Source organism: Homo sapiens, chromosome 4 (genome assembly GCF_000001405.40).
Source record: "Homo sapiens chromosome 4, GRCh38.p14 Primary Assembly".
Taxonomy (NCBI): domain Eukaryota; kingdom Metazoa; phylum Chordata; class Mammalia; order Primates; family Hominidae; genus Homo; species Homo sapiens.
The window spans coordinates 62,061,775-62,080,590 of NC_000004.12; the positions used below are offsets into that span (position 1 = coordinate 62,061,775).

General features: G+C 32.4%; 1 protein-coding gene and 1 long non-coding RNA gene across 58 annotated transcripts in view; one reads left to right on the plus strand and one right to left on the minus strand.

Annotated features, from left to right (window-relative positions):
- ADGRL3 (adhesion G protein-coupled receptor L3) overlaps positions 1 to 16,561 on the plus strand; it is an 878,010-nt gene extending 861,449 nt beyond the window's left edge. For 35 of the 57 annotated variants that reach the window (NM_001322402.3, NM_001387522.1, NM_001387523.1 and 32 more), the window contains one exon: positions 8,335 to 16,561. In NM_001322402.3, the coding sequence (NP_001309331.1) occupies positions 8,335 to 9,134 (800 nt within the window). In that variant the 3' untranslated portion in view covers positions 9,135 to 16,561. Of the gene's footprint in view, positions 1 to 1,730; positions 1,860 to 6,391; positions 6,444 to 8,334 lie in introns of all 57 variants that reach the window. The other 22 variants (NM_001322246.3, NM_001387548.1, NM_001387545.1 and 19 more) reach the window with 5 other exon arrangements.
- ADGRL3-AS1 (ADGRL3 antisense RNA 1) overlaps positions 9,981 to 18,816 on the minus strand; it is a 90,011-nt gene continuing 81,175 nt past the window's right edge. The window contains exons 7-8 of the long non-coding RNA NR_110595.1: positions 10,979 to 11,103; positions 9,981 to 10,005 (exon numbers count right to left, since the gene is read on the minus strand). This is a non-coding gene — a long non-coding RNA (ADGRL3 antisense RNA 1). The remainder of the gene's footprint in view (positions 10,006 to 10,978; positions 11,104 to 18,816) is intronic.

Genomic DNA, 18,816 nt, shown 5'->3' on the forward strand with positions numbered 1-18,816 from the left:
TTTATGTGTATCAGTAGTTTGTTCCTTTTGTTTGTTGACTAGTACTTCATGGTATGGGAATACTACAGATTGTTTGACCACTCACCAGTTGAAGGAAATTTGGGTTGTTTCCAGTTTGGAGCTACTACAAATAAAGTTGCAATGAGCATTCATGTACAGGTTTTTGTGTGAATGTAAATTTCCATTTCTCTGGGATAAATGTTCAATAATGCAGTTGCTGGGTGTCATAGTAATTGCACAAGTAGTTTTATAAGAAACTGCCAAACTGTTTTCCAGAGCGGCTGTGCTATTTTACATTCCTACCAATGATGTATGAATAATCATTTCTCTGCATTCTTGCCATCGTTTAATGTTTTTCACCATTTTTATTTTAGATATGTAGTAATGTCTCATTGGGGTTTTAACCTGTATTTCTCTAAGGCCAATAACAATTTGTTTCATAAGATTATTTGCCACTTGTATATCCTCTTCCATGAAATATCTGTTTATGCTTTTGAACCATTTTCTAATTGAAGAGTTTGTTGTTGCTATTAGTTTTTTTAATGTTGACTTTTGAGACTTCTTTTTGCATGCTCGATACTAGTTCTTTTTTGGATTACAAATATTTGTGAATTTGTTTTACAAATCTGTCTCTCAGCCTATAGCTTGTGTTTTCATCCTCTAATACATATATTTAAATGAACATATACCTGTCAGTTCAACATGACTATTCTCATGCAATTTGTATTTTGCTTTCCTTTGTGACTTTTTCTTTCTTTATTCATCTAACACAAATACACAATTCTGTCTATTATTTTCATAAATGTCCTAAGTATATTAATAAAACTTCTCCTCTGATCTTTGCTTCTTGGTTAAATGGCTTTGGAGGATGGAAAGTTGCAACTCATGCTGATGGTGTTAGAAACTAAGAACAAAAAGTATTAACAAAAGGGTGAAAGAATTTAACATTGTTTCATTGCTATGTCAAATTCCAAACAACCAGTTGGAAAATGGAAAACGGAAAATGGAATTATATATGTGTATATTGCTTGACATCATAAAGTTAATAATTTATTTAAAATATTTAAAAATAGCATCTATATGTTTTTTATCAGATTTGTAAGATCACCAAATTAGTATGCTTACCATGGTGTACTAATGAGTGATTATATTTTATTTTATTTCATCTTAAATGATTCCTCTTCATAGAATTTCAGAAATGTCAAATTCTGTTGTGTCAACAACTGCTCTCCAAATGAGTGTTTTATCATAAATGTTGCCTTTTATCCTTTTTTACTTTCATTGGAAACAACCCAATGGTTTCTGTGAATGAGGGAATGTTTTGTTTAATTTTTGCTTTTTTGTGTGTGTTTTAAACTTTTTTTTGGCTTTTGTTTTGTGTTTTGTGTTTTGTTTGTATGAATGATTAGATTTTGCTTTTTTTCACTTTAATTTTAATTTTTAGCAAGCATGGGAATATATTCTTGCATACACCTTGGGAAAGATAAAACCTTAAATGTAGCTTAATCAACATTGTAAATCATTTTCTTTCTTTCCCATTGACTCAGATATGTGCATTGTTGGAAATGTGTGCTCTAAGTGGCATATTTTTTTAGTCTAGTTAGCTGCCTGCCTGTAATCAGGACTGTATCAATTGTTGTCATTCTAAATGTTTCCTTTCTTTTTTTCAAACACATTTGCCTGATTGACCTTTTTTTTTTTTTCTCTGTCTTTCTATGGGGCTGCTCCAGGAGCCATGGCTAATCATCTTATAAGCAATGCTCTGCTTCGTCCGCATGGTACTAACAATCCCTATAATACATTGCTTGGGGAACCGGCGGTCTGTAACAACCCTTCTGTCAGCATGTACAACGCACAAGGTGTGCTGGAGTTTATCTTAATTTTTTCAAGTGAGAGTCCCATTTTATGTAGGTTTTATGGGCAAATTCTATTTTTCTTTCTCCTGCCTTTCTTTGTTTTGGAAGCAGACCTGCAGACTCCTTTCGCATTCCACCCCTCTTGGTGCTTTTATTTTCCACTTTCCTTAGGTTTTCCTTAGTAAAAAATGGATTCCTTCTGATAAACAAATGCCTGATTCATCAATATGTGTTTGTTTCTCCATAACGTTATAAAATGTATTGTGGTTTGTCAGTACTTGTTGTTCATTTATTTTTATATTAAATATCTATGTATTTATTTTGAGAAATAAGATATTTTCTTCAGGTAAGTAATATAAAAGAAGACTTGATTCAATAGTCTTAATATTACAAGATCAAGAAAACAAATCTTACTTTGTTATACCATAAAGTACACTCTGAGCACAAACCATTAGTACTGATGAAAGCATTTCAATCAACTCTGGGGAGAATTACATTGAACTAAGCAGTGGAGGATAAAGACAGTGTACTGGGCAGTAGCAGCTTGGGTTCCGCCTTAGTTCTGCCATTGCCAGTAAGAGCTGCCTCAGGCAGGTCATAAAATTGCTTTTTCTTCTGTGGCTATATGTTAAAAACAAGGCTTTTGAGTATGGTTCCTCTGTACATCCTCCAGCTTGAAAATGATCCAAAAATTAATTGTATCTCAGAAAAAAAAAAACCACCATAGATCTCTTTAAAACCACTTACAATGTAAGCATTCGGACATGGTTTTACCTTTCCCGAGTATAAAAATGTGTTAGGAACACAGAAAGCTTAAAATACATCATATGTAAAGAAACCACAAGAGAAAATTATTCAAATAAAAGTTTTATAAAAGTCCTAGTCAGTGATCCACTTACTTAAAATTATATTTGAAAGAAAATTCACAATTACAAAGAGACTTCCATGATTCTTTCAAGTTGAATGTGATTGGCAGTATTTAAATTTTCTGGGCAATTTTTAATAAAATTTCTACTATCCTCTGTGGAAATCTTTGGTTGTTTTTTTTTTTCTTTCTCGGTCACAGGTGAAAGATTAGTGGTGTGTATGTGTGCAACTTAGTGAGAATGTGCCATTGCAGAAAAGGATATATTTGTTAAAACAAGGCCATTGTGTGTCTAAAACCATCTGAGCTTCCCCAGGAGGCATCTTGCCAGATGCGGAGGATGATTTTACATTATTTCAGAAACACCAAAGTCAATAATCAAAAGTGACTACATGAATATAGGCAAGTCGTTTGTCAATACAATGAAATAATTCAGCTCACTTTGAATTTAAAATTTCTTAAGGGATATATGTCTTTAGAATTAGACGGCATAGAGCTCATTGAATTCTCTTTACATCATTGCTGACATTCTGTCAGCTTGTGCTTAAGTATTTCCTATAATGGGGCCCATCCCACCTCAGAATCTCATATATTCTATTGTTGAAACACTCCATTTGTTATGTATATATTTTTTTCTTCCACTAAGCTGAAATTTTTCTCTGGTCTTTAGAGCAAAGAAGAGCAAAGCATTCTTCTGTTGTCTGTGGCAATCCTTTAAATACTTGGAAACAGCTAACCTGTCTTCCTTTAGTCTTCCATTTCTGTAATGAATCAGAACCATCAATATGAGACAGTATCTGGGTCTTTCTTCTTGGTTACTCCACCTAAAGTGTCTCTTTATATCTCAATGTCCCTATTTCATTGTAGCACTCAATGAATTGTACATTACACAATTCATCAGATGTGCTTTGGCAGAACAATTAAGTAAACCCTATAAAGGCTTGTTTTATTTTGCTTTTTTCTTTGTTTTCCTTAGGACAAGTGACAGGTAATTGTGTCATTATAAACATATTAACATGTGCTGACATATTAGTAAATTTTGAATGATGTTAAATGAAGATTTTCACCCTATCTGGAAATTAAATGTATTCTACTCTATTCAGTACATAGAAGAGTCATAGGTATTTATTTTAAAACAAATAATAAATTTGGACCACATTTTGTTTAGCTTTTTTGCTAATTCAGATATAATTTCTAACTTCTAATATAATGAAAAAGTAAAACTGATTAATCTGTATGTTTTTCCTAATTCAATATCTGCCTTCTTGTCTTACTTTATTTTTACTGGTATCTTAAAGTATGAGATTTTCCCAAGGATGGAATACTTCTATAAAAACTATCAAACTGCAGTTCTCACAATGTAAGAATTTTAAATAATACTGTATTGATACAAATTTTTATTCTTGGGATCTATGACTGGTTATTGCTACTTGGATTGTCAATAAATACACAAAGGATTCTTCTGAATGTATTTGTCTTTTATTCCAGTAAATTCAATAACTTTTACTGACTTTTTTAAAAAACCAAAGTAAATAACTTTATTAATGTTTTCCAGAGTCAGAAGTTGAATTGTACACTATTTAATGTTTTGATATTTTTTAAGATGTTAAGAAACTATGGTAGTGCTTAAAATAATTCTTTTTTACCACTGACCAAAAATAAATCTTGGTGATTGTCATATTGCTACTAATCTTATGCTTTCAGATGAATGCACTTATATTCTTACTGGCAAGGTGAAATCTTACATGAAATATAGGTGGCTCGGTATGTACTGGAGTGGTTTATGTTGAATTACCACTTGGTTCTCTTCTGTGGGTCCTCTGGTTCAGTTGCACCAATGCTATCCAAGCATAGAAGCATTCTTTTTTAAAGTACCTATTCTTGGTTGTAACACCATTTATTTAAAATATGTAAAGATGTGTTTATTGTGTTACTGAGGCATACAGAATTAGGAATGAAGATGAATAATATACTTTTATTACACTGAATTTGGAGTCTATCTGGAAATATTTTAAATTTCACGCAGAGTACTTCTGGACCATTATCTTCTTGTCAGTATTAGGAATTTAATTTTTGTAAAGATAAATCACATTATACAAAAACCTGTCAACAAAACATAATTTAGAGAGGAAGTCATGATTTTACTAAAATAATTTACATTTTAAAGTAATTTAATTCAATTCTAAAGCTTTAAAGAAACATAGTCCTAGAACAGAATATAGTGAAGAATATATTATAGTTGGTAAGAATACAAGATCATTTTAGAATGTATATAAATAGATTTTCTGTGATAGTTTTCAAAGCCTAAGGCAGATGTGAAGTGAAGGAGATTGCAGCAGACAGAATTGGAAGAAGTCTGGAAGACTTTTTTCTGATCCCAGTTCTACCATATTAGCAGGGTGGTGTTAGATAAAGGCTCAGCCCCTCTGGGCTGCAGTCTCCTCTTCTCTGAAAAGTGGGAATTGAATTTCAATGATCTCTCATGTGCTTTCCAGTTCTAAAATGCTTTCATTTAAGGAATGAGCCATAATGAGCCTGCAAGCATTTACATCTCTCGATATACTGGCTTGGCCCTTCCTTTCAAATTCTTACTTTAAAGTTCTTTTGAAACTTTAAAAGAGATTTCCTCTGCATTTTGAAATGTTGTTGATCTTTCTGCTGAGAAGCAAATCAACCTTTAAAGAACCAAAACTGTCTCTTTAAACTGTCATTAAATTATAGTAAGATAGAACCCTTTGAAATGATCTGGCCCAGTGAATTTGCTGGTTTTTATTTTATGATACTTTACCCTTTTTGTAGACAAAATCAGCAAGAACAACTCTGTTAACCAGGCTAAAATAAGAGGTTTTTTTCCTTAAAAAAATAATTTTGATAGGATTGTTTTTAAAGGATCAACTCTCAAAATGTTTGATTGCATACAATTGTGCAACAATCCAGAAGAAAACCTAATATTGTTGGTTGCGTTTTTCCCCTCTCACATTTTCTGTATTCAGAATAATAAATAAATGTAACCTTTTTTTCCTCCATAGTTACACAACCTTTGAATATGAGCTCCAAAAATGACAATATTGCTCAGTTTTTATTTAAAACTGATCAAAAAATTCATATATGTATAATAGAGAAATAACTTTTGTGCAGGAAAAGAGAAGATACATAAGGCGGGAAAAAATGAACACAATTATGAAAGTCTTCAATTCTGGTTTCTCTCTGTATAAAAGCTTCAGATTTTATTTATACTTTTACTGAAAAAATTTAAAATTAAATAACATTCCTTGAAGCACGTATACTCTAACATACACACACATATGTGACATTGAAATATATTGGTGAAAATAGTCATGGTCTGCCCTCAAATTTTTACTCTCCTTGGTTTATGTGATGATCTTAAGTGTGTATTTGTTTGAAATTTACAAATGGTGGAAACGCTTATTAAAGACTCATTATATTAGCATGTGTTAAGGGGGATTTCTTATTTTCTGACTAACATTTCAGTATTTTTAATTATGGTAAATCATGTAACCCAGACTCATGAATTTTGGGGCAGTGGAAATTATTTCCTTTGACTCTTTTTTCTGCATATCATCAATTTGCTTTTTACTCATGTTTCTTCTACTGTCGCTGTAAGCTTACTTGTTGTTTTTTCTTTCCTTTTCTTCATGCTGTCGTTTAGAGCCCTACAGAGAGACAAGTATGGGAGTAAAGCTAAACATTGCATATCAAATGTAATTTTTTTTAGTTCACTTTTATTGCATCACATATAGATGATGTAGTTATTAAAAACAGTTCATCTCACAATTTAAAAACTAAAAAGCCTATGAATCGACTTATATAAATATATGTTAATAGAGATTAGACGCTTTTGTTGTCTGATTCTTTTATTGTCACATAATCAACATAGTTGTTAAGTTTCATGTAATGTTTGTGTGAGTTAAATTGTTTTTAAATTAAGCATTTATTTTTGCTAAGTAATTCATAAACTTTTAATTTTTATTAGTACATTCCATCATAAAAATGTGTCACGTGCAACATATCCACTTTATTTTACTATGGCTGTTTTCAGCCCGTACCTAATGCATTGACAAACCGAAATAATAAACACGTGTTTCAATGCATCAGCCATCCAACCATAGCCATCAAGCATATCATAGCAGCTTCTGCAAAAGCTATCACCCATCACATACAGCCCTTTAAGAAGCATTTACTTTTATTTTTTCCTAACATTGTGGATTTGTCTACAAGATATAAAATGAAAATAAATCGCTTCACCCTATGTCTGTGATGGCTGCTTATTAATACAATTTATGCATTGCTAATTTTGAAAACTGTCTTACTTGAATACACAGTATGCATCAGGAGTCCAAATAAAAATTGGCATATTTGAATCACGTAATTTAAACTAGTAATGAACTAGTTGAGTTTTGATAAATAATTGCATCACAGATATAGAATGAATGCTATATTTTCACAAGTTAGCAATATATTAAGAAGTTTAATAGAATTCTCCAATTAATATTTCTGTAAATAAGCACCCTTTCTTATTTACCAATATTGTTTAAATGTGTTTTTTCATTTTGTGGTTGCATTTGAAGTGATTTATGAAGCTATTATAGATTCTTGTTTTTCTGTTCATTCAATGGAATGCAAAAACCTTGAAGAAATATGTGGTCAGATTTATTTCACTGCAGCTGTTTCTTACCAGAATAAAATGTTTATCCTTTTGAAACCCAAACTTTAACATGCACACAAATCCATCACTCATTATATAATGGTAACATTAATACTGACACAATGTTTTTAGGCACCAGATACCTGTGTCTTTACACATTCTTTTGTAGTATTACCTAATGACCCTAAAAAAATCTCTGATGGGATGGTATATAATAACAGCCAAAATGCTTATAGCAGAAAAAAAAATTAGAAAGTAAATCCAAATACTTTTGTTTCGAAAATTCCTCGGTGTAAATTCTTTTGATGTGCCATTTATCTGACTAAACATTATTTCATGACCTCATCATTCTGAGAAATTTAACATAATCCTTTTGTGGTTTTGTATGAAGGGATTATTTTTAATCTTACAAAATTAAATATCAATTTATTAGACACTGCTTGTTGCTTTTACTTTTGACCAGTATATTCAAAGTACCACACATGAATTATGTTAATATTATACCTATTTTGATGCTAAGACAATTTGTAAAATTAAAGGTAATGGAGTATTTAACTGACTTTGATGTGTATAAATTGAAAGCTATGAATGACTACACCAAAATTTTATGTTATTTTGTCCAAGTTATAACCAAATATACTTCAAATAATGTCAGCCAATGTTTGTGTGGCAATTGCAAATTGATAATTTATAGGTTTTTAAAAATTATTTTAAAGATCTACTTTAAATATGATTTTCCCATTTATATGGTTTCAATCACTGGTCCAATTATACACATATATAGATTTAATAGTATTTTCTGTTTCCTTCCAAACATTTTATACTTAAGTAAATGCTAGCAATTTATACATATTTCATAGTCAATGAATGTTTTTGCTTCTGTGTTTGTGTGTGTGTTCTATGGCTTGTTGGATATAAATGTCATAGTATCTTGTAATCTTTTTCAGAGGGGCTTCTGAACAATGCCAGGGATACAAGTGTCATGGATACTCTACCACTGAATGGTAACCATGGCAATAGTTACAGCATTGCCAGCGGCGAATACCTGAGCAACTGTGTGCAAATCATAGACCGTGGCTATAACCATAACGAGACCGCCCTAGAGAAAAAGATTCTGAAGGAACTCACTTCCAACTATATCCCTTCTTACCTGAACAACCATGAGCGCTCCAGTGAACAGAACAGGAATCTGATGAACAAGCTGGTGAATAACCTTGGCAGTGGAAGGGAAGATGATGCCATTGTCCTGGATGATGCCACCTCGTTTAACCACGAGGAGAGTTTGGGCCTGGAACTCATTCATGAGGAATCTGATGCTCCTTTGCTGCCCCCAAGAGTATACTCCACCGAGAACCACCAGCCACACCATTATACCAGAAGGCGGATCCCCCAAGACCACAGTGAGAGCTTTTTCCCTTTGCTAACCAACGAGCACACAGAAGATCTCCAGTCACCCCATAGAGACTCTCTCTATACCAGCATGCCGACACTGGCTGGTGTGGCCGCCACAGAGAGTGTTACCACCAGCACCCAGACCGAACCCCCACCGGCCAAATGTGGTGATGCCGAAGATGTTTACTACAAAAGCATGCCAAACCTAGGCTCCAGAAACCACGTCCATCAGCTGCATACTTACTACCAGCTAGGTCGCGGCAGCAGTGATGGATTTATAGTTCCTCCAAACAAAGATGGGACCCCTCCCGAGGGAAGTTCAAAAGGACCGGCTCATTTGGTCACTAGTCTATAGAAGATGACACAGAAATTGGAACCAACAAAACTGCTAACACCTTGTTGACTGTTCTGAGTTGATATAAGCAGTGGTAATAATGTGTGTACTCCTAAATCTTTATGCTGTCCTCTAAAGACAAACACAAACTCTCAGACTTTTTTTTTTTTAATGGGATTTTTAGGTCAGCCCAGGGGAGAAAGATAACTGCTAAAATTCCCCTGTACCCCATCCTTTCTTGTCCTTTCCCCTTCAGATGGAGACTTCATTATGTTAATGAACAAGATATGAAGAAAATGGCACTCATTGTGGCCTTGTTGAATTATGTTGTGTATGTTTTAACATCTCTGATGCTGTGTTACTAAAATTACAAGGACCTGCTTTTTAAAAGGCCAGAACAATTGTCTGAAATTAGTAACAATGCTGCATCTAGATTGGAGTGCTGCACAAACAAACATAAGAGCAAAGCAAAACTGTATCACATAGGGTTTTTGGTCACTCACAACCTGAATTCACCACAGCTGGAATAGCTGTGGAAAACAAAATAAAACAACAAAATTAATAATGAAATGGAGGGGAATTCTAGAATTATATGCTAAATGCATATTTTATGATTTGCTGTATTAACTGATGATAAAACTAATGGCAGAAAAAGAAGTTGAGCAATTTCTATGTAATGTACAGATACTAGCATTGCACATATAGTCTGCTTTCTGTTCCTCCAGAATTTGAGTCCTGTTAATGTAGTAGAAAAAAAAAAAAGAAATTTTCTTTTTCTTTTGTGCTGGTCTTGCAAGTTTGTCTACCAGTAAGAGAGCAAAGTTTCCTTCCTTTCTTCTCTTTCTTCATTTTCTTTTTTTCTTTTTTGCCTTTTATTCCTTTAAAATTTCGCCTGGCAAAAAATAAATAAATGGAACTATCACTTTATAAGAATCATTTTCTAGTAATGCAAACAAATTATTTTTTACAAAAAAACAAAATAAATAAAATTAGACTTCCTTCCCTCACTATATATCTTTATGCAGTCAGAATATTTCCAACAGTGTTTTTTGCAAATTAGAGCAGGACAAACTTTTATGTTTACAGGGCACGTCTGTTGTAATGCAAAGCATATTTGGCAAGCAGTTCATCACCAGGACACTAGCTATGATTCTAGAAGTCAAAAGGTGTCTATAGAACTAGTGGGGCTTCTGCATGTGAAAAACGGTTTTCCATAGGCATTAAAGTGCTGAATGCTCAGTCTGATCAACAAGTGGGCACCTGCACTACCACTTTTTAGAGGAAATTCACTCCCTCGTAAGCATTGGAAGGTCAAATTATTTTGAAGTGATTTTTTTAAAAAAAAGTCTTCTGTTTATTAACAGGAAAATTTATTTATTTGACAGGATTTTGAGTAATGTAGGAATACAAAAGGTAAATTAGCAGCACATATAATTTTTTTTTAATTTATGATCCATTTTGTATGGTCTCAAAGTTGGATGACCTCATTACTAATATTTGTTGTAAAAGTGAAACTTGTTTGCCAACCAATAAACAACTGATTGAGATTTAGAAGATATTGTATTGATGTATGTACTATATGATTAATCAGTCTTTTTATTTTTCTCGCCTTTCTTTCTTTCTGTTTTCAATACATAAACTTTGCTAATCCTCTGTGGCCCAAATGAGCCATGCAAAAGAAATCAATCTGCCTAGATGAATAAGCTAAGCACAAAATCATACAGGTTTGCAGACAAAGTAAACCAGAAAAATGGAATGGGCATGTTTATTTTGGATGAAATCAGATGCATAACTTAATGTTGAGCAGGTTAACATATATGTTACTATTTGCTTATCTATAAACCAGCTGCAGTCACTATGCTTACCTTTAAAACCAGATTCAATCAGAGATATAAATATGAAATTTGGGGGCTGGGTGAGTCATATTTTTTCCTCCTTTGTACATTGCATTTTGATGTTAGAAATTCAAATTCCCTCAATTTGCTAAAAGCTGCAAAGAGAATATTCATTTTATAAAGATATAATAAGACTTTTATTGTGTTTTTTTCTTATTCTATATATGAGGGAAATCGGAAAAGATAAAGAAGTTCTTTCAAAGAAACTTTCTAGATCTCTCATTACTGCAGATCCTTTATAGCAGTGTCCAAGTACAGATCCCCTGTTAGGGCAAAGCTAAAAGGAACCTGCCAAATTATAATTTCTCCTGTAGTGTGTTTTATCTCGGGGTTTCCTTTTTCAAAAATCTAAACACTATCCATCTATAAATGACTATCTTAAATCAAGTTTAGAGAATGGCCAATAATCTGTATATAGTTTATAAATACATGACAAAAAAATTTCTGCTGAGCCAGAGTGCATCATAACCTTCACATCACCTCAAAATATTTTATGTCTCATTCTTTTTTAGTGAATTGGCATGAATATTTTTTAAGTCTACAGATTTTATGTTAGAGGAGAATCACAAGCGTTAATGATAATTAGGTTTTCTCACACCACACTATGGCAATATTAGCACGTCCAAGGCTTTTAACCCACCCGATACATAGAATACATTTGGCAATAAAAGAATCCTTTTTAGATGTGTTTATGGTAACTTCAGAAACACAAATGTGGTCTGTGGATTATGAGCACTTATGCTTGTTTTGTCAAACAGTAACCTACATGAAAGCAACTCTATCAGTAAGAAGCTGGTTTCACAGAAAAATGGGGAAACTACCTCAATTCAGCTTGCTGATTTTCTGACATTGCTACCTCCCTGCCCATTATTTTTGTGTTTCTATATGGAAATTTGAAGCAGGTAGCTTCTCAAGCTCTACATAGACCAAACTGAAGAAAGATCACTTGAATACACAAACTGGTGCAGAAGAACATTCAGCATATAAAGTTACTACCAAGCTCTTGCATCAAGAAAAAAGAGTGAGATTTTTGAACTCTATACATCATAAATGGCATGCTTTCAGAGAGACTTAAGATCCCAAAGATTATAACAGAGAGAAATTTCCCCTGCAAGTATTATGTAACCGTAATTAAAAAAAATGGATAAAGGAGCTAATTTTACATACATTTCAATAGAAATTTGCATATATCTAACATATTCATTTTGTCCTGTTTACACTAGCAAGGGTTGAATTCCTGAACTTGAATCTTTTTCTTCATATACATTTTCTTATAGAGCTATTGATGAATTAATTAATGATTTTTTAATTGTTCTTTTTTCTACCACCTTTTGTGACTCAATTTTTTAAGATCCTGAGACATTTATGACCTGCTTATCTGTATATTTTTATGTGTTCATCTGAATTTCCAGTAAGAAGTAAATTTCCGTCAAACAGATGTAGTATACCGCTATAATACAGCTTATTTAGCCAGCTAGAAGTAAAACTTATGCCACCGAAACAAACAAATGATTACTTTCTTGTCAAATAATATTTTTGTCACATTTTTAGACTTGGTTGTTTTTCCTCTTTGAAATCTAGTTCACATGACACTTTATCAGGGACACTAGCTAATGGACCTCATGTTTAGTTAATTCTGAAACTGATGGATTGTTGCACAGCCTCTGCTCCTAACTGATAAATATTTGCGGCAAAGTCCAAATTTTGTGAAGGAGAAATTGGTTGGAATTAAATTTTATGGGCGTCCCTTCTTGTTTCCACTATATTATAATTAAACACACTGAAGTTGAATAATAAATTACTGTGCTAAAATAATTGTAATAACAAAAATGAACTGACAGAACAATTATCTTGAAGTAACAATAATCAGGAAAATATCTAACAAAAAGCACGTAAGGGAAATATCCTTAACTTCCTGTAAAAAAAATTCACATTGACTCTAAATTAAGATGTAGTTTATCATCTGTATTTTAAAATATCCATCATAACTAAAAATGTTGACATATTAAGGAAAGGATCTTTAAGATCTAGGTTTAAGATTCTTATTAGTATTAACTTAATTGGTATGACAAAACTTTTCATAATAGATATAAGCATATAAGGGAATTAGTAACATTTATAAAGGACCCACATATTTAATTTTAGGCATTGTCTTCAGCTTCCCTGGACCCCCAACACATGTTGAAATGTTATTGACTAGCTTGCTTTTTTTAAGGAATGACATTAAAAATTTCGACTGACTTTCTACATTACTGTAAAGATCAAAAGGGAGAGGAAAAATAGTTTACAAGTTTTCTAAAGATCAACTCCAGACTAATCTATATCATCCCCTAATAATGAAAAAACAATTAGTTTTTAGAAGTTGTCTATCAGTACTGTACCGAAGTGCTACTGCTTGGATTTTTTTGTTGTGGTTTTAAAGAGATGGGGTCTTGCTCTGTCACAAAGACTGAAGGGCAGTGGCACAATCCCAGCTCACTGCAGCCTCAGACTCTTGGGCTCAAGTGATCCTGCTGTCTCAGCCTTCTGCGTAGCCATGATCACAGGTTTGAGCCACAGCACTTGGCCTGTGATGTATTGCAGAGGGAAAAAAACCAACACTACAGAAGTATAATGCATGTCAATTCAGATTTAGAGAGTGTAAAAAACAAAAACCCAAAGTCCAACTATTTAGTTTTGAGCAAATCTGAAGATATTGGCATGAATATCCTTTCTTCTCTAAGAAAATTTTTGAGATAACAATATATATGAAGTTCCCAGTACATTGTAGACCAAGGTGTTAAAATTTAATTAGTTCATTTTTAGTAATTCATAATTTTAACTTACCACATAAACAATTACTATGCATTTCTAAGTAACGTTTTCAATATAGCTTATATTAGATTTCTGCACATCATTAAATTACGAAGATGGCACAAAAGCAAAGCAGCAACATTGCACAATAGCTTATGGAAGCATTTTTGTGCGAATGGATTTTACATAAGAAGCTTTTCTGAGCTCATAAAATATATTCAATGGATCCCAACATTAAATTTAACTTTGCAATCAGCAAATATGTTCTTTATAACATCTTAAAAATATTAAACAATTAAATTTTCATTTGTAGGCTAGCAGAACTTAAATGTGTTGGTAGTTGCTTCTTTCCTGATTAGGCCATAAGAAGAAACTTTCCTATTTACTAATTAACACTGATTACACTCTCTTTGGTTTAAAAGGGAAACTTTCACCTGTACACATACACACTCTGATTCCATTTATTTACAGCCTGCAGAAGAAGTAGCTTGTTTACGATATTTAAAACTTTGTGATTTCTGCAATAAAACAGGTAGTTAATATAGTTTCGCATAATCTCATTGAAAGATATTGCTATTCCTTCTTTATTTAAAAAAAAATTTAAAAGTCAGCACTTCTTTCACATCTAGCACCTATAAGTTACTATTCAAATGTCTTGATTTCAGCTAAGTTTTGATGTTTCTTTTTCTCTTAATAGTATGTCAAAAGCATTGTTCTCATTTGATAATTTGTGTCCCGTTACAGTATTTCAAAGGTAAATGCAAACTAATTTTTAGGAAGGCTTGTGAAAGAACTTTGATTTATGTGAAGAAATCAAGAAAGACTATACATGAACAAATCTCTATTGGGATAAACAAGTCTCTTCAACCACAATATGAACAACGGAAGAGCAGAAACCAAACAAGTTAGCAAACTTATGGTAAGGTGACAGGACCTAAACTAGAGTTACAGAGAAAAGTTTTCCAGGAAAGAATAATGAAGTCATTTGTAGTGATAAAAATCTTATACACTACACCAAATGTTACAGATGTATTCCGAAAAGTAAAATGGGAGTTTCCTATATTCTGATTTCATTCTGCTAATTCCACGGGAAACATTAAATACTTTAAACACTCTTGAGATATTTCGTATCTAGCTATACCTTGTCTCAAGGAAACATCAATATTTTATAAATGTTTCTTAAATATAAGTATTTTGTCTGAATTCATCTTCACTCTCTAATCTGCTGGCTCTATTGAACACCAACAGAGTTAATGCTTTTAGTAGCTTTGTACCTTTTAAAGCTCTATTATGAATCTTTCTAATACATATGAAATTAATATTATATTAGAATTATGTACATTATACAAAATAATTCATAACCAAGAAATATTCATACTATAGAATAATTTATTATTATATATATGAATATTACATTGAGACTGAACAAATAACCACTCTGCTCCAAATATTACTCTCAAGTTCTCTGCCTTTAATTATTATAGTCAATTCATAAAATTCTACATACAGTTGTACATGGTGGGTTATCAAAGTACTCCATAATCCAAATGCATCTAAAAGTATTCCAAATGCGCCTTTCATTCTAGAATACTAAAGGAAAGCGTTTGAAAGAAGAGGAAAGTAAAGCAGACTTCTAACTATTTAATTTAAACATTGCCATTCAGATTGAATAATTTTTAAATGATGATGCTCCACTCTTTGATCTACAGACAAGGTTACAAAAGATTTACAATTAGTCCAAAATCAGAGGATTTTAAATCTTAAAGGAGTTAAGTTTGTCTCAATGATCCAAGACTACAAAATTTCTTGCTACATTGGCAAGGAAATATGTTTAAAGCCGAGAACTAAAATAGCTTTTTAAAATTTAAAAATTCCTCTGTTTCTTCTGAATGTAAAACAGGCAAAATGATCCTGACTTCAAAATGAAATATATTGATTGCTCTCAAAAGATGTTTGACAAAGTTAAGTCAGTATCTTCAATGCTTTAACAGTAGGTAGAGGTCTTTGGGGTTGGAACTCAGGATACAGTGACTAGGACAGAGTGCATTCTTAGGCTAATTAGTGCCTAGTCCTCTGGAGTATTTTTTAATGCCCTGAATTTCAAGTTGTCAAACTGGTTTACATATTGAATGACATTTTGAATCAATAAAAATGAGAAAAAAACATTTAAATTTGGTTTTCATGACTCATTTGAGAATAAAGATTTCCTTCATCACCCTAAGTAATAAAAGCTGATATGTCTTGAAACAACTATAGACAATCAGAATGTGTTCATTTATAAAGTATCACTGGTTTGTATATTTTAATGCTGACCTTTGCCTGTGAACTAGAAAATCAAGATTTGTAGAGTCAGGTTGATTTGCCTTCATTTAATTCCTGCAAATGCATTGGAAGTGGATGGATAACTTGGAACTTTTTCCATACTGTTTTCCCCCTCACCAAGCATTAAATCTAATTCAAAATATGTCTTTCTAAAAAACAATAGTTTATTTTTAAAACTAACAACTAATTGTGTTATTCCTTGTTGATAAGAAAGTCACTTTTTAGAAACAAGAATATAGCTATTGTGGCTTTGGTCGCTTAGGATTCTCATATATTTACACATGGCATTATTCTTTTCATATACACCTACCAGATTTCAAGCTATTGGATATTTCCCTTGTACAACCTTTACATCCTTTTTTTTTCCTTAAATGCTCTGTACAATCACATGTAAAGTCATGAGCTACAAACCTCAATAAAAATATCAGTAAACAAGAAGTGATGTAGTTACTGTTATTATATGGTATTACCAAAACTTTGATTTTGGGATAGTGTTTCAAATTTCAGGATAATAACTGAAACATGGGCTCCTAATATATTTCCTATGTCCACTACCTCACACCCTGCCACCCTCCCCTTCATGCATTGGAAATATAATGTAAAACCTTTTTAACCTTTGTTTTCAGAGAACTGCCACCACTAGAGGCATCTATAAGGCAATTTTTCTTTTCCAGAAAAATAGAAAGTTAAATTAAGAATTTACTGTTTGACCTTAAAATTTGCTATTAGTGAGATATAATCAAATCTAGTCTTATATCTACTGCCTGGTCTTATTTTTCCTCATCTCAAACTAGGGAGTAGGACAGTCAGTCATCAACGAACCTCTGGTCCAAATAAGAGTTTAGAGCTATGCATTGTGACATGTCATTCTTCTTTTGAATAAAAAGTAGTATATATATTAGTAAATATTTTGGATCACAAAGATAGATGTCATATAATCATTATTCTGTAGTGTCACGGATTCTGATTATTTAGCTTACTAACTCTGAGTGTTGGTTGAATGAGCACAAATATCAGCTGGATAAGTCGAATTCGGAAGCCACTTTTTTATAATATTGAAAATGCATTTCCATAAGAAATATTCTGCAAAGGAAATGGAAGAGAATCAGCAGCTCCTGAGTGCCTAGTGTATGCCTGGCACTTTACGTAGCCTCATTTGATCTTCCCAATAATATGACAAAATGGAACATATTACTGTGTACTCCTTTTATGGAGGAAACTGAAATTCAGATCTCACAGTCACAGAGCTACTGTATTTTGAACCAAAATCTCTCAGTCTATTTATTTATTAATCATTTTATACTGCATTAACTAAATGATTAGTTGAAAAGAAATGAAGCAAACCCTTTTCATTTAATTAAGGGGAGGAAACAGGCATTCAAGGAAATGTTGCAATAACATGGAACTAAAATTTATGTGAACCCACTTTATAAGGTATTTAATACATCTATAAATATAATATGTACATATAAAGAGAGAGAAAGAAAGAGATCAATATAGCTATTTCTACTTTATCTATCTATTGAGGGAGAAGAGAGGACTGACTTTTGAATTCTGGTTCTGTCACTTATTCTGTAAGTTTCAGCAAATTAACTTCTCTAAGAATAGGGTTTCTCATCTCCGAATATCTAAATACAGCATTTTGTCTGTAACATACATATATACATAGCGTATGAGGCACACATAAAATTCTCATCCAGAAAATTCTTAAATGGATTCTGGGTTAATACTAAGTAAATTTTGCTGGTGTCTTGTTGATTCTATTAGTCCTCTCACCCCTAATCATGGTTGGATAGTAGTAATCTGTTTCTTAATTCAAATTCTAGTTAAAGTTCCACCTTAATATGTATGGCTGGCTCATTCGATTGTTATGGCATGTATGATAATTAGAAGTTTACGTACACAATTTTTCAAAATTTAATCTTTACACAACAGTTTTAACAACTGTATTTCCAATGTGATAACATCATTTTTTAGTCTATATTCAGCAGTTTGCACCTGATAAAAAGAGATGGCACTGCACTCCAGCTTGGGCAACTAGAGCGAAACTCCGTCTCAAAAAAAAAAAAAAAAAAAAAAGATGGTTCTAAGTTTAAATACATTTGGGAGATGTGAAACAAAACACAACACAGATTTTTAAACTGTAGGATTTCAGAGACTGCACTGCAAAACTCCTAGAGGAGTATATATTGTGCTGTTTACTAAGACTGTTTGCACCTGAAATCCTCAAGGAATCTGAAGAGCAATACATTGCAAACCTGTTGATCCATGAAACACAGTTTGTGAAACACCCCTCAAAATATTCTTGTTACTATTGAGTTTTTTTTCGGAATATTTGATGTTCATGAAATACTGGAGGTGTGACTCCTCCAATACAGGTATTAATTGGCTTTATAACTCATGATAAAATAATATTTTTAAAGTATCCCCACTAAATTTATGCTCCTAATCTTTAGGTGGAGAAAGAAAAATTGAGACGAAGACTGCCCTAAGAATTCTGCCATAACCGTAGAATCTCTATATTTTAATATAGCTTCCTATCTTCTAATATCAAGTATCTATCTGGCTGCAGCAACTGGAGGGAAAAGGAGACCACCTGCAAATATCTGCAAATACCTGCAGAGATACCCGCAAATCAATGAAATGAAAATCTTGTTAAAATGCAAATTTGGGTTTTTGTCAGTCTTTGGGAG